Raw genomic sequence first — 16,946 nt, 5'->3', positions numbered from 1 at the left:
AGAGCTCACATGAGTTTATTTTATCACAAAGACCTGGCAGTAATAATTATGCTAATTTAAACCTGGAAGGATGTAGACTAAAATGTCAACAATGTCTTGAGTACTGGAATTCTGAGTGATTTTTTTTCTACTTTGTGTTTTTATGCATTTTCCCAATTTTTCTATAATGAACACATGCATAATATATCATCAGAAAGTTTTAAAAATGCATAACTTTTTCCATTTATGTTTGGTACAAACTATTTGTTTCATAATCTCCTGGAATGCAAATGAAAATTTACCCTAGAAAGCACACTTTAAGTATTACTGAGTTATCAGGTAATTTGGCAGCCTTAATGCTTGAAATATTTTATTGATGTTAGAGTACTTAAGCTGTTAAAACTTTTTTTTTAACTTAAACTTTCAGAAGAGTGAGTTTTTTCCATTTTTGATGCAGTACTAATTTTTGGCTAGAAGTTTTACAGCTTGACATGCCACCTGACCTCTGTACCTTCTATTTGACCTAATGTATCTATAGATCATTTAAATGAGCTCATTTGACTCAAGAGAAAATCCTTACATGTCAATTTTCCATGTAAATGAATTCTGTTTTAAAGACTAATACTTTCATTGGAAGCTGATTATAAAACTGTGCTATTAATTTTGACATTTTATATTCACTTCAGACTTTCTATATTATTATGTTTTATTACCCACGCTGCAGAATATAAATAAATGTGTTTTATTATTTGCTTGGGATTTTAACTAAGGCTTAATGGATTTTATTCTGGCATACTTTAATGTCCCCACAATTCGTCTACTTGCAAAGTACTTTAGTTACAAATGAGCCAATTTCCATTAACATACTTCCTCTACACTGCAAAGTATCTGCTTTAGAACAGGCATATTTTAAAACTAAAATAAAACCCCAACTAGTTGGTGTCAGCTTTTGTCTTGCTAGTATAATTTCTATCAACATGTTTTAGAAATTTTATTAATCTGTTATATTTGAAATGTCATTGTTTTCCTCTCTGGTTATTGCTATTCCAAAGATCCTTTAACCATCACAGTAAATCACAGAGTTCCTCTAGACTTGAATGCCCAATACAGGAGCCACTAACCACATGTGGCTACTGAGAACTTGAAATGTGGCTACTCCAAATTGATTTGTGCTGAAAGCATAAAACACATACTGGATTTTAAAGACCTATTATGAAAAAAATGAGTGAAAATGTGTTACTGATACATGCTGAAATGGTGATATTTTGGTTATATTTTGTTAAATAAAATGCATTATTAAAATTAAACTCACCTCTTTATTTTTCCTTTTAATGCAGCTACTGGAAAATTTAAAATTATATTTGTGACTCACATTTGATTATAATGTGATTATAAAATTGTTCTATTAATTTTGACATTTTATATTCACTTCAGACCTTCTATATTATTATGTTTTATGGTTCACATTATATTTCTATTAGACAGTGATACTTTAGAGCTTGTTTCTTCACCAAGGGGATATGCTCAACCAAAATGTGTTGGTGAATGAAGCCCCCAGTCCCTACATACATCAAGCCTTGTCAAGATAATATCCACCCAAGCTTTCTCCCACTATGTCAGTGTTCACTGGACCTCACTGATGTTTCTTGCTGAATATGGCAGCACAGGAATTTTCTCTTATCTAACCTCTGGATTTGCTTTTGGGAAACGTTTCCTGTTAACCATTGGCAAATGTGAATCCCAGTCATTTTTCATTAGATAAGGCTGAGTCCTTATATAATAGATCAAGGGTTAGCACAGCAAACCAGCATACAAGAATTTGAAATCAGCAATCAGAGCTTAGTGAAACAGAAAATCACTTGCTTGGGCTAATAGTGGTTGCTTGTGTCTGCAATTTAGTGGTGTATGTGTATGCCTTCAATCCACAGGAGTCAGCATGACATGTAAGAACACACCGATATCATCATAGCTTCTCCAGTTTGTTGTCAAGAGCTTTCTACCTTTTACAAAGAGTCTTCAGAGCCTGAGACACTCGTAAGCGTGCATATATTCTTGCTTTTTTGGTAAAGGCTTGTGACGCAGAAGAAATGATAAATACCTAAATTGAAAGCAAGGGCTTGACATTCCTAAGTTTCTTATGTAACTGAGAGAATTGTTTAAAAGCAGAAGGTTCCACAGAAGTGTACTTTTTAAAAATTTATCTGAAAACATAGCAGTATAGTAGCACTAATAAGTTGAAACATCCTCTTGTCATGGTAATTTTATTGATGAAAGCTGGCATTTAGTTTAAAAATAGTAAATATAAAAACATCAATTTGAATTGTACTACTTTTTGTTAGAGATATAAAATGTTAATAGCTCTTAAGTATTTTAATTTATAGGTTGTCACTTCTAATATATTTTAATACACACTTCTTATATATTTAATAAAAATAATCTTAAATATTTTAAAATCTGCTATCATATAAATAACTAATTATTTTACATGTCTATTTTTATGACTGTTTTTAGGAGAACATGATTTAGCATTTGTTTGAAAAATTCTAATTCTCTTTTTTTTTTTTCGAGACAATTCTCTCTCTCTCTCTCTCTTTTTTTTTTTTTTTTTCCCTGTTGCCCAGGCTTGAGTGCAGTGGCATGGTCACAGCTCACTGCAACCTCCACCTCCCAGGTTCAAGCAATCCTCCCACCTCAGCCACCAGAGTAGCTGGGACTACAGGCACACATCACCACACCTGGCTGGTGGTATTTTTGTATTTCTTGTAGAGACAGAGTTTTGCCATGTTGGGCATGAGTACAAGAATATGTAAAAAAAACAAAAAAACAAAACACAGCAAATCTACCACAGGTTTCTTCTATCTTTGAGCTCTACCTGCAGTGGGGATAGATATATGAGTTCTTTCTCACTTCATGGTCCAAGAGGACTGCTGAAACTCCAGCCATCACATCAATTTTCTAGGCAAGAATCAGTAGAAGCAGGGAAGATCAAATAGGGCTCATTCAGCCTGCCGTCTCATTCTAATGAGCTTTCCCTAAAGTCTCACTAAAACGCTTGTGCTTGCATTCCATTGACCACCTGTGGGTACAAGAGATACTGAGAAATATGGTCTTTTATATAATACCTCGTGCCTATATAAAATCAGGATTCTGATGCTATGGAAGTGGATATTGAGACAACAACCAGCAGTATCATACACATTAATCAAAGGTACCAACTTTCAGTTTGCTCTGATTGTTGGCCACCATTATCAGACATCCTAACTTTTCAAAAGAAACTACAAACAGAAGTTTTATGTGAAATCTCCTGTATTTTAAATGTTAGCATCTCATTCAAATAAATTTTAAATTTTTATTATGAATTTTTTTTTTTTGAGATGGAGTTTCTCTCTGTCACCCAGGCTGGAGTGCAGTGGCACAATTTTGGCTCACTGCAAGCTCCACCCCCTGGGTTCACACCATTCTCCTGCCTCAGCCTCCCAAGTAGCTGGGACTACAGGTGCCCACCACCATGCCCAGCTAATTTTTTTGTATTTTTATGAAATAATTTTAGGCCTACAGAAAACTTGCAAAAAAATGGTATAAATATTTCCATATGTTCTTCATCCTTAATGTTAACATATTGTATAACCATAATACAATTACCCAAAATTGGAATTTTAAATTGGCACAATACTATAAATGAAGAATTGGCATTATTTTGTAGTAAGCCAGATAGGAACTATTTTAGGTGTCTGTCACTACGACTTAATTCCGCTATTGTAGTGAGAAATTAGTCATAGACAATGCGTAAACAAATGAAGGTATCTGTGTTCCAATAAAACTTTATTTACAAAAAAAAAAAACAGATCTAGGAAGGATTTGGCCATGGGCTGTAGTTTGCCAACTCCTGCTGTAAACTGAACTTATAGACCTTGTTTGATTTCATCAGTTTTCTCATTAACATCCTTTCTCTGTTCAGTCCAAGATCCAAAATGTATTTAGTTGTTGTCTCCTTAGTGTCTTGCAAACTGAGTTATTTTTCCTTCCTCTTTTGTGAATTTGACTCTTTTGAAGTGTACTATTCAGCTATTTTGTAAAATATCCCTCAATTTGGATTAGTCTGAAGGCTTCTTGTGATTAGATTGAGGTTATCTATAATACAGATGTGTGCACATGCATGGGTTAGTACACATATGTATATTTCCTAACTCTGAGAGAACCTACAGTTAATGACACCCCAGTAGCAAACAGCGCACCTCTTATTTTAGTTTATTTGTGCACTATAACAAAGTACCCGGGATTGGGTGACTTAGAAACAATAAAATTTATTTCTCGTGATTCTGGAGTCTGGGAAATCCAAGATCAAAGCACCACCAGGTTCAGTGTCTGGTGGAGGATCCTTCCTCATCGATGGCACCATCTCGGTGTCTTCATGTGGTGGAAGGAATGGAAGGGCAAAAGCAGCTCTCTGAAGCCTCTTTTATGGCCGTAGATCCTGTCCATGAGGGCAGGGCCCTCATTGCCTAATCATCTCCCAAGGGCCCCACTTGTTAATATTATCACCTTGGGGGTTAAGTTCCAACATATAAATTTTTGGGGGGACACATACACTCAAACTATAGCACCTAGCACCCAGATCTTGGTGGTTTCTAAACACCATTCTCCAATAAAAGAAAATGAGTCTCCTTGAAGAAGTGATTGAGTCCATGGCTGGGGCAGGGAAACTATGAGAACTGCTCAGAATTTTTGTGTTGCCAAAAAGGAAGGTAGCACACAAAAATAATAAGAACATGTACACAGGACACGGAAACCAACATGCAGGAGCCCCAAGTGGCCAGAACTGGAAAAATTGGGGCAACCAAATATAAAATCATTTTGCATTATATGCAAGAGTTTTGCATTATAACCCTTAGAATAAAATAAATATCCACATGTACATGGTGATATAAATGAATAAATAATTGAATAAATAAATAAATAAATGGGGGAGAAGGGACAGCTCTCCTTGACTGAAGAATTCTAATTAATAAACATAGAAGGAATGAGAGAAACAGAAAATTACCATTTGGCAAATAGCATAGTAACAATTGTGGCAGACACAATCTACTGACAGATACTAAAAATATTGGGACAAAGTTTGTAGAGAGCAGGATGTTTGCATAATCTTAAATGTCACCCTCAAGATATTTATTGATTGCAAAGGGAAAAATATAGTAACTTTTTATGGTGTGACAGACCCCACCTTAACCAAATGAAGAAGGTTAACTTCACCAGTAATAACACATGACATCATAAACCTCCCACTTCAAACACTGATTTGGTTAATCAGTGAAAAGATTTTGCCCTTGGGTCATCAGTTTGCAACCTTTACCGTATAGTACACTTTTGATAGTATTTAATTTGCTACAGCTTTGCCATTACAAAAGTAATACAGAAATAATTTATGTTTTCCTACCTCTTAAAAAATAATGTATTTTTTTGCCAATTAGAAAAATGTTGAAGTATGACTCATTTACAGTAGGTTAAATGAAGTATACACGTTTGATATTCCCTGTATTCAAATGCTAAGATTGGTAGGATTTCTAGAAAGAAAACAAAGGCCATACAACTTCAGGAACTGCACTAGATTTAAAAATTATGAAGATTCTAATTGGCAAAGCCTTTGGACCAGGCATTCCAAACTCATAACTTCCACTTTTACTATTCTGTTGAATTAATCATATCCCAGAGCACACCTCTTTGGTGTCTAGCATACATAGTTGATCATCCTTTTTGGTCGCTAATACTTTTTTTTCTTTTACTTTAAGTTCTGAGATACATGTGCAGAATGTGCAGGTTTGTTACATAGCTATACATGTGCCATGGTAGTTTGCTGCACCCATCAACCCGTCATCTAGGTTTTAAGCCCTGCGTGCATTAGGTATTTGTTCTAATGTTCTCCCTCCCCTTTGGTCACTAATACTTTTAAATACTTGGTGAAAAATCCTTGTGCCTTTCCCCTTCAGCCATATAATCAAAGTTCTATTTATACTTTTATTTGCTTAAAAAAAATCCCTGTACTCAATTTTGACCTGCATTTAGTTAACATCATTTTCACTTAGAATCACTTATTCTTATCAGGATTTCAGTTTATTGAACACAACACCCAAGGTAGATGAATTCCAGAAGTTAAATCGCTGTGTGCAAGCCATCACAAATACAGACAGAGCTGCTGAGGCTATTACTTTTTGACTGCGATGTTTCTAAGTCAATTGAACTGTGATTGTCCTTTATATATATTTCAGTTGACTTCTTAAATTTAAACTTCTGAGCAATCATATTCAAGAAAAGTAGCCAATGGCCCACCAAACAGGATCCATAAGCCTAAAAAGACATGAGTTTGGAAGCTGTGTCTGTGGATTCAAACTTAGGTGAGAATTTGTTTAGAATGGGAAACTTATTTATGACAAATAACCAAGTTAAAAAGCTGACAATGAAAACATCACAAAATCAGAGAGACAAGGTACCTTTATTAAGAAACTGCCCACCCCACCTCTATAATACCTTGACTCCTACAAATATGGGCTGTAAATGTTTTGATTATCTCTCTACCTTTAAATATAAAAATTATTTTGAAACATCATTCTATAGAGAAAATAGAAATATAACACAGCCTTTCCTCTAGGATGTCAAATTAATTTTTTTTCTTATTACTGAAATTTTAAAAAATGCCTTTTGGAGTCATAATTTGTTATTTGTAATGGCACATACTTTTTTTAGCATTATCAAACTTTGGAAAATCTTTATTGCATTTCTTGAATATAACATATCAGTGCATTTAAAATTTACTCATATAATGACTAGTTTTAATACTCTTTAAACTGATTAAATACATCACCAGTTGCTCATCAATGTCTTCCTTGTTCTGACTACGACGAGTTTGTGTTCTCTCCATACTTGTTACTATTTTGTGTCAAATCTGTAAGAATTTAAATATTTCCCCATGTTCATGATTCACTTTTCTTCATTAATTAAATTTATCGAATAAGAACCAAAACATTACTTCTATTCAAAATTTTCCTTCTAATAAATTGTTGCTGTTGGTGTGTGTTGAAAATTCTTTTGCCGTAAGGGGCTTCTTGATATAAGAATAATTTTTATTGATTTAATCATTTAATTGTTTTTTCATGTTCCATTCATTTATTTCTTAGCTTTTCTTCCATTACATCGTAAATAAATTTAAAGATGACCAAAAATGGTACAGTCTTATTTTTATGCAATCAAAGCAGAAAAGTTTAATTTCTCTCTTGTTTTAATAATAACCTTCAAAACATCTTTCCTTATTGCAGTTAAATGATATATTCCCACCTTGACAATTTTCTAAACCATATTTCTGTAAATTTTTGCAAATACTTTGTAGCATCCTCAGCACATAGTTGCACCCATGTTGCAGGGCTTATGAAGCTTTATAAAAGGCAGACTTCCTCCAGGCACATACATCTAGTGTTGCAGGGCACAGTTATATGCAATATGCCCTCTCATCCTGCATGTTTGTTTGTGTGTGTGTGTTCCATTTTATTTTAAAAATTTTTTAAATTTTTAATTTTTGTGGGTATGTAGTTAGTGTATATATTTATGGGTTATGTCAGATATTTTGATACAGGCATGCAATGTGTAATAATCACATCAGGGTAAATGGGATGTCCATCACCTCAAGCATTTATCCTTTGTGTTTCGAACAATCCAGTTATACTCTTAGTTATTTTAACATATGCAATTAAAATTTTTTTTTACTATAATTATGCTACTGTGCTAGCAAATACTAGGTCTTTTTCATTCTTTCATCCTGAATCTTTGTGCTATGATGCCGGTTGAGTCAGTACATGGAGATGCTGGAGAACTCCTGGAAGCCATTCCTACAGTGGAATGACTAGCGAAGATGAACTATAATGGAAATTGAGTGCAAAACACATACATATATCCCATTAATTACAAACCAAATGCATTGCCAACAACCTCCCTCTTAGCTGGAGCCCCCAAATAACCATAGCTACCCCAACTCCAAGAAACACCTAGAAAGAAATGTGATACTGAAAGTCATTGTTAAAAATTCTTATTTGATACATTTTGTAAAGATATATGACCATGTGAACATATTTCTAGGGCTTTTCCCAAGCCCATAATGTCCACGAACAAGTGAGTGGCCTTGAGCTTTTGGCTTCATTGGCTTCATGCAACATACACCTCTGTTCCTTAATGTGCAAGAGAATATCGAAAACCAAGTCAATGAGGACACTGATGACAAATAAGTAGCTGAAGGTTGGCAATTCAAAGAAAACGAGTGCCTTGAAAACTTACACTTGAGAGAAGTTTCTCAAATTTGACAATAACTCTTAAAAATATCATACTTTGGTACTAAAAACATAAATAAATCTCCGTAAACTACAAATTAAAAAAAATTTTTTTGGATCAGCCAAGCTGGGCCTTTTTTGGAATGTGCTTGTGGAAGTAAATAACCTCGATTTTGTGGTTTAGTCATTCATTTATGCTTCAGTTTCTGTTACAAATTTTCTGCTACATTTGTAATGCGCAAGCAATCTAGAATGGACGGGCAGTGTTCTGTTGCCCACAGACTAAGATTGGCTGACATGAGGTGCTATTGCATTACTCATATTTGGGTGAAAAGGAAACATCCTGAGTCAGGTCTCTATTGCCATGAAAATGCTACATAATAAGCAGCCACAAATTTATTTATACATTTATTTAGCTCACAAACTTGTGAGGTTCAGCTGATCTAGACTGGGCTTGCTCATGCATCGTCAGGCAACTGCAGTGGGTGGACTAGATAGCTCGGGTGATTTGGCTGGATTTGCACATACTTCTCAGGTGACCGTTCCCTAATCTAGGCTGCCTTTGCCCAGGGTGACCAGGGCCACATGGCTTCTCTTCTTATGTGTCTCATTCTGCACCTGCCAGCTGGACAGATTTCATCATGATGGCAGAGATGCAAGAACAGTTCGAAATGCACAAGTATTTGAAAATGTGGAGATGTCAGTAATGTCCCATGGAGCAAATCAAATCACATGGCTAAACCTAGAGCCAGAGAGGGAGTGACCTACAATGTTACCTGGTAAAAAGCACTTATACAGTGAAAGATGAAGAATTGAGGCCGTATTTTATTTTTGTAATCTATCATGGCATCTGGAACTGAACCCTTGGTTTTTCTAACCAACACATTTAAATCTGATTCTCTCCAGTTCAGTAAATAGAACTCCTATCCATCTTGATGCTCAGGCCAAAATACTTTCCCTTGCACCTCAAAGCCATCAATAAGTCAACTAAAGTTTCAAAATACATCTAGAATTGAACCACGTCTCACTGTTCCCACTACTGCTCCTACCCTTGTGCAAACCCGCTGCCATTCTTCACCTGTGCAAACTTGATAGCCTCTTAACTAATATTCCCACTTTCAGTTTTTCCCTCCTGCAGTGTTTCCACCAATTCCAAGGAAACTTTTAAAATGTAAGTTAGATCATGCACCCGCTGCTCCACGCTCGTCAATGGCTTCCTCGTTTTATTGGACTTTATTGTAAGACCAATAAAATCTTCCAACAGACACCAGGCACGGTGGCTCACACCTGTAATCCCAGCACTTTGGGAGAATGAGGGGGGGAGGATCACTTGAGGTCAGGGGTTCAAGACCAGCCTGGCTGGGAAACCCTGTCTCCACTAAACATACAAAAATTAGCTGGGCATGGTGGCACACGCCTGTAGTCCCAGCTACTCGGGAAGCTGTGGCAAGAGAATCAGTTGGGCCTGGGAGGTGGAGGTTGCAATGAGTCGAGATGGCGCCGCTGCACTCCAGCCTGGGCGATAGAGCAAGCCTTCTAAAAAAAAAAAAAATCTTCCATTGGATTCTATTGGGACTTACAATAAAATCCAAAATATTTACTGTAGCCTGAAAAGCCATGCGTGGTCTGGTCACTGGCTACTTACCTTGCCTTTTTAAAAATTAATTTATTTATTTATTTATTTGAGACGGAGTCTCGCTCTGTCCCCCCAGGCTGGAGTGCAGTGGCGCGATCGCGGCTCACTGCAAGCTCCGCCTCCCGGGTTCATGCCATTCTCCTGCCTCAGCCTCCCGAGTAGCTGGGACTACAGGCGCCCGCCACCATGCCCAGCTAATTTTTTGTAGTTTTAGTAGAGACGGGGTTTCACCATGTTAGCCAGGATGGTCTCGATCTCCTGACCTCGTGATTACACGAGGTGTAATCACACGTGATTACAGGCGTCAGCCACGACGCCCGGCCTTGCCTTGTTTTTATACCACTCTTTTCTCACTGACTCTGCTTCAGCCAAACAAGTCTTCACTGTTATTTATAAACATTGATAACCTCAGGACATTTGTACATGCTAACTCCCTGGCCTGGATGACATTTTGTACATGCTAACTCCCTGGCCTGGATGACTGTTGACCCTGCTGTTGTCTATAACACTCACTCACTCACTCAGTTCATTCAAGTTTCCCTTCGAATGAACTTCTTAACCTCTTTCTCTAGTAATTTTCTGTCACTCTCATTCTAGACCAGCTCTTTTTCTTTCTTCATGGTACATGTTAATAGTGGATATTATAAAGTATATTTGAATTTTAAAAAATAGCCTAAAGGAATAAAGTTCTAGAAGCATTACAGCTAGAATGAAAATATTTCCAAAACATGATATATGGGAGAAGTGACAGCACAGGAAAATCCTACCACTGAAATATTAAAGTCTATTGCTTCTGGACATTTTAAATGTATAGTTTTTGTGATAGCTAAATATTACCTTTACCTGGAAAGCTTTTAGTCATGCTCTATTTTCTGAACTATATTTCCCAGTTAATATTAGAAGTACATTAAACACACACACACACACAAAAACTATGAATGGCTTTGATAGCAAGCTTTGTGCTCACTGGCTACATTCTTTTTTTTTTTTTTTTTTTTTTTTTTTTTGAGATGGAGTCTCGCTCTGTCACCCAGGCTAGGAGTGCAGTGGTGCGTTCTTAACTCACTGCAACCTCCTCCTCCCGGGTTCAAGCGATTTTCCTGCCTCAGCCTCCCGAGTAGCTGAGATTACAGGTGCGAGCCACCATACTTGGGCTAAGTTATTTTTGTATTTTTAGTAGAGACGGGGTTTCACCATGTTGGCCAGGCTGGTCTCAAACTCCTGACCTCAGCTGATCCGCCCACCTCGGCCTACCAAAGTGCTGAAATTACAGGCGTGAGCCACCACACCTGGCCAACATTCTTGCTCCTATATAGCTGTGGAGCCTTCAGGGAGCACTCCAGCATGCTAGGAATATCTGGATCACTGTTAAGTGATGCCAAGCCCGAGTCCTTCGATTGAGCCACGGGAAGAGGAGCCCATATAATGGTGGGAAACCCTTTATATCCAGGGTTTAATCCTTCGCTGTGCCACAGAGAGACGTCTTTGGCAGTCTCCAGAAGACCAGGTACCAATTTTTACAAAATGTTTTATTTTGCATATTTATCGAGATAAAATTTATGAAACAATTAACTCGTTTAAAATGAACAACTTAGTGACATTTAGTACATTCAAAAAGTTGTGCAACTACCACCTCTATCTAATTCCAAAACATTTCCATTGCTCCAAAATAAAACCCTGTACCCATTAAGCAGTTACTCCTCATTTTCCTGTTCCCAAGTCTCTGGTAACCACAAATCTGCTGTCTGTCTCTGTGGATCTACCTATTCTGGATAGTTCATATAAGTACACTTATAAAATATTTGACTTTTTGTGCCTGCCTTCTTTCCCCTGACATGTTTTTGAGGTTCATCCACACTAGCATGTATGAGTACTTTATTCTTTTTTCTGTTGAATAACATCCGACTGATTGGATATACTGCATGTTATTTATCCAATCACCTCTTGATGGTCATTTGGCTGTTACAACACCTTTTGGCTATTATGAATAGTATCATTATGAACATTCCTATACTACATTTCTGTTCAGTGCCTGTTTTCAGTTTTTTGGGGTATATACCTGGGAGTGGAATTGCTATTATCACAGTGGCAACATAATTTTTTAATGTGTAAAATAAAATACCTAGGATTATTTTTAAAAGGCAATAATGTTGATACAGAGCTATCAAAACATTAAATAAAATAAATGTGTGTTATGGTGATATATATTTCTTGATTTTGCAGTATAAGAAGATCTAACAGCAAGTCTACTAACTGCTGTGCATTCAAAGTATACATGATATTTCCAGGCATCTGCAACACTTGTAATATGAAAGGGTTTGTGTTTTTTTGGTCATAGCTCCTTCCAGTATTATTGGGATTTATTGACTGTTAAAGACTAATAAAAATAAAAATAACTTTTTTTCTATCCAGATTCATGGAACCCTTGAAGTCTATCTAATTGAGCTCAGGGACAGTTACGACCCCCAGTTAAGAATCCCTGTTTTAAAGAAGGAGAGTGATGGTGAAAAACTCACTTCCTAGTAGCACATTTATCTCTGTCTAACTCTCTCACCACTCTTCTCCCATCTCATCTTTTGTCTTAGGAAATCTAAACTCAGCAGAATCAGCTTGGACAGGTGCAGATTCATTGAAGTGAAGGTTAGTGAATTCACACACTCCAAAGACATTACAATGGAGTTGTAAACTGTTATCTTTTACCATTTTAGGTGTCAGATTAAATTTAAGTTAATTTCCATATAACTTAAACACAGGAATTAAAATAGCTTTTCTAAACCTAATGTTGTGTAGTACCTTACAGTATCTAAAGTTCTCACACATACATCATTGTATTTAATCCTCTGAAAATTGTGTAAGTAGGTGTTATAGAGGAAGTACACCCTGTTATTACCTTGGTTTTAGGATGAGGAAGCCCAGAGGCAGAACAATGTAGTCAATTAAGTTTACAAGGCAAACACAATGGGCTAGAACCTGGGTCATCTAGTTAATACAAGCTGTAAGTGCTTTTTCTATTGGAGCAGAAAATCAATATATCTAAACATAATTGTTCACTTGGCTTTTCAGTGTAAAGAAGAGTTACTCCAAAAATAAAAGCCAACACATTATAAATTGCTCTCTAAATGGGGAAAAAAAAGCAGTAATGTGATAATAGTATAGTTCACAGTCCTAGAAACTCAATTCTTCTATTGTCTCAAAGGAAATGTCTCAAAAAGGCCAGAAACTCAAACCAGATATTTTCCTGTAGGAAAAGGTGAAGATGTTTTCAAAAACTGAGTTTTATTATTACCTGAAAAGAAAAATAAAATAGTGCTCAATCTGTATTTGGAGAAATCCCCAAACAGAATATTGTTCTGTATGCTCTGAGAATTTTCTCTAGAGAGGATTTCCTTCACTGGACAAATGCATAAATAATTTCTGCCAAAATGCAGTCCCGTATGTCATAGTTTTCTTGTTTTGAATGAAAGAAAATCCATTTGTGAGTGGGTTAGGTTTTCTATGCACCAAAAGTTACTTATTCAATTTTTAGAGTTTCTATTATGTTGCTTTCTCCTCTGGACACAGAACATACCTTATTCCAACAGTGAAGGGAAAGAAAAAATGCTGAGCTCTGGCTATAAATATTTTATCATGTATAGAGACAAAGATCACAGGGGGGCAGATGAGGAGCAGGAAACAAATGTGATGTTGTTTTCAAATCCTCAGAGGAGGTTTATATTAAACTGTCTCTGCCAGCTTGTTTTCTGCCTGGCTTTTACACTGTCAAACCCGGTAATGGAATGATTTTGTGTACTTGGAGTTCACCTACTGGATGAGGAATGCAGCATCTAACTGAAAGTGTTAAAATTATCCGTGTTATAAAGTATACACAAAGAAAAATTGGCAGAGTGATGAAGACATATTTCTAAGAAAGATGATCCATATTAATTTTTTTTGGAAAGGTTCTATCCTAGTAAAGACAATAGGTTAAAAAATATGTTGTATGTTGAGTTTTCTCAATTCAGTTTATTATTTTTCTCCTCTTAATCTAATGTCTCAGAGTTGTTGGAAGGTTTTAATCTAATGGGATCTAGCATCTTTCATGATTTTGCAACCCATTGGAGTTTATTTGGCTAGAACTCAATATTAATGAGGACAAGGTCTTGAGCCCATTCTCCATAAAGGGAGGACAAAATGCTATTTTCCTAACATAATGGCACAGACCATGTATCAAACCTGCTACTCACAAAATTGCATCTCTGGGTACAAGGAAAAGTGGATGAAAGGGTGAGTAATACAACAGCCGTTCTAAATTGCAGATCTGATGGAACCCTTCCAGTCTCTAAGTTACCTTGAAATGTATTTGCATAAGGGGCTGCCATCCTTGAGTGTGAGGAGGGGAAAAAAGCATGCAGAGACTGTTTATACTAGTAGAGCTGATAGTAAATCTTCCTTCCGTTTTATATACCATAGAATTTTAGAGTTTAAAATGTTTAAAGTTTAAATTTTAGAGTTTTTAAACTCTAAAATTCTATGGTATATAAAACAGAAGAAGGCTCATTAACTCTGAGATATGAATATATTATTGATATTGGTCACTTACCAATGTGCCTAATAGTATACTCATATCTCAGAGTCAGGTGCCATTTGTAATGCAGTTGTTATATGTTTTGAATGCATATCATGAATGAGCATCTGATTTCCAACATCCCCAATATAGGAGTAAAATGTCCAGAGAATCTATTTAAATGAAGTACAAAATGGCGGCCGAGCGCTGTGGCTCACACCTGTAATGCCAGCACTTTGGGAGGCCGAGGCGGGTGTATCACCTGAGGTCAGGAGTTTGAGACCAGCCTCGCCAACATGGCGGAACCCTGTCTCTACTAAAAATACAAAAATTAGCCAGTCATGGTGGCGGGCACCTGTAATCCCAGCCACTCGGGAGGCTGAGGTAGGAGAATCACTTGAACCTGGGAGGCAGAGGTTGCAATGAGCCAAGATGGTGCCACTGCACTCCAGCCTGGGCAACAGAATGAGACTTGGTCCTTGGTCTCAAAAACAAAACAAAACAAGAAAACAAAACGAAATGGCATAAACTTATGTGAAAACTTAGTTATGCTTAGCTAGGACATTTAGGATTGTTTGTTTGCTTGTTTGTTTCTTTATCAAATTATTCGCAGATATCAGGTCACTGATTTTTGGCTTGAAGAGCTAAATTCGGTGACTAAAATGCTGCTTGGAATGGTTTTGTACTTGGTAAAAAATGCACGCTAATTTTTTTACTATTCATTATTGGCCAGGTACTCTGCATAGGCCATTTTATAGAAAATGGTATTCATCTCCATCTTTCAGATGAGTAAATAATCTCAGGGAATAATAAATTGCCTCAAATCGTGCAGCTAGTAAAAGGTGGAGCCAGTCTGTGGATACGAAGCCAACTCCTTCCTCTTGAAGGTTGGAAATGCAAATTCTAAATTTAATTGACATCTGTACCTTTTGTTAAAATATGCATTATCAACATGTTCAGAATGGTATAGCTGTTATCTGAACATAGTCTACTAAACATTCAGCATTCAGATTTCTTTCTTTTTTTTTTTTTTGAGATAAGTTCTGGCTCCGTCACCCAGGCTGGAATACGGTGGCATGATCTCAGCTCACTGCAACCTCTACCTCCCAGGTTCAAGCCATCCCCATACCCCAGCCTTCCAAGTAGCTGGGGCTACAGGCCTGCACCACCACACCCAGCTCATTTTTGTATTTTTCTGTGGAGACGGGGTTTCGCCATGTTGCTCAGGCTGGTCTCAAAACTCATGAGCTCAAGTGATCAGCTTGCCTCTGCCTTCCAAAATGCTAGGATTACAGGGTAAGCCACCACACCTGGCCCCCAGATTGCTTTTTAAAAGTCAGTAATGGTAATATGGCTTTAGCAGAGATATATGGGTAAAGTCTTCTTAATGGCATATTTTAAGAGAAAGAAATATGAGAGGAGAGTTTTAGTGATGATTTGAGAATGTCTTAAAGTAATTTTATGATATCTAATATTTACTTGATTAATTTGGCTATTTGCAGCATAAATAGAAAATTAAAAGTAGTACGAATCCTTAGAAAATAAACTCAAAATGGTTAATTATATAGAAAATGTAATATAATGATGCTAACAAAATACAGAAATTTACAAAATGCATTTAGTTTTATTTTTCTGGATCAAAGTATTACTTCTGTCAAATATATTGAATTATCTTATTATTATGCAGTAGACCCACATGATTATATCAATTTTAAAACTGTATTCCATGACAGGTGACTTGTCTGCTGATACTCTGAACTGTTTGAATAGGGTATCAAAAGATGCAGAAAAGAAATTACATCTACTTATATTTTAGCCTATTTTGAACTAATTGAAAAGCAGCTGTCAGAACTGTCCTTCTAGAATTTATTGTTGCCTGTGTAAGGCATTGCTTTTTACTAAGTCCTAGTGATCCTAGCAATAATAGTTTAAAACATAGAGCATGCTTTTTTTTTTTTTAATTTTTTTTTTTTTATTATACTCTAAGTTTTAGGGTATGCTTTTGAGAAGATATTTTTTTTCAGCTACTGCATGTTCTTTCTTTGATTTTGATTTTTATGTACATATTTTTTATTACACTTTAAGTTCTAGGGTACATCTGCACAATGTGCAGGTTTGTTACATATGCATACATGTGCCATGTTGGTGTACTGCATCCATTAACTCATCATTTACATTAGGTATATCTCCTAATGCTATCCCTCCCCCCTCCCCCAACCCCTCAACAGGCCCCGGTGTATGATGTTCCCCTTCCTATGTCCAAGTGTTCTCATTGTTCAATTCCCACCTATGAGTGAGAACATATGGTGTTTGGTTTTTTCTCCTTGTGATAGTTTGCTGAGAATGATGGTTTCCAGCTTCATCCATGTCCCTACAAAGGACATGAACTCATCCTTTTTTATGGCTGCATAGTATTCCATGGTGTATATGTGCCACATTTTCTTAATTCTGTCTATCATTGTTGGACATTTGAGTTGGT

General features: G+C 36.4%; 1 protein-coding gene across 7 annotated transcripts in view; it reads left to right on the top strand.

Moving 5' to 3' along the window:
* Positions 1 to 16,946, top strand: part of PAK5 (p21 (RAC1) activated kinase 5) — a 301,707-nt gene that overhangs the window by 106,492 nt on the left and 178,269 nt on the right. Inside the window, exons 3-4 of one of the 7 annotated variants that reach the window (XM_017027961.2) lie at positions 1,908 to 2,013; positions 12,510 to 12,564. The exons of 4 other annotated variants lie outside the window; for them this stretch is intronic. The gene's annotated coding sequence lies outside the window, so the exon portion shown is untranslated. Of the gene's footprint in view, positions 1 to 1,907; positions 2,014 to 6,227; positions 6,369 to 12,509; positions 12,565 to 16,946 lie in introns of those variants that run through there. 2 more of the 7 variants (XM_017027960.2, XM_017027965.2) reach the window with 2 other exon arrangements.

Source organism: Homo sapiens, chromosome 20 (genome assembly GCF_000001405.40).
Source record: "Homo sapiens chromosome 20, GRCh38.p14 Primary Assembly".
Classification (NCBI taxonomy): domain Eukaryota; kingdom Metazoa; phylum Chordata; class Mammalia; order Primates; family Hominidae; genus Homo; species Homo sapiens.
This window is presented reverse-complemented; position numbering and strand designations above follow the sequence as displayed.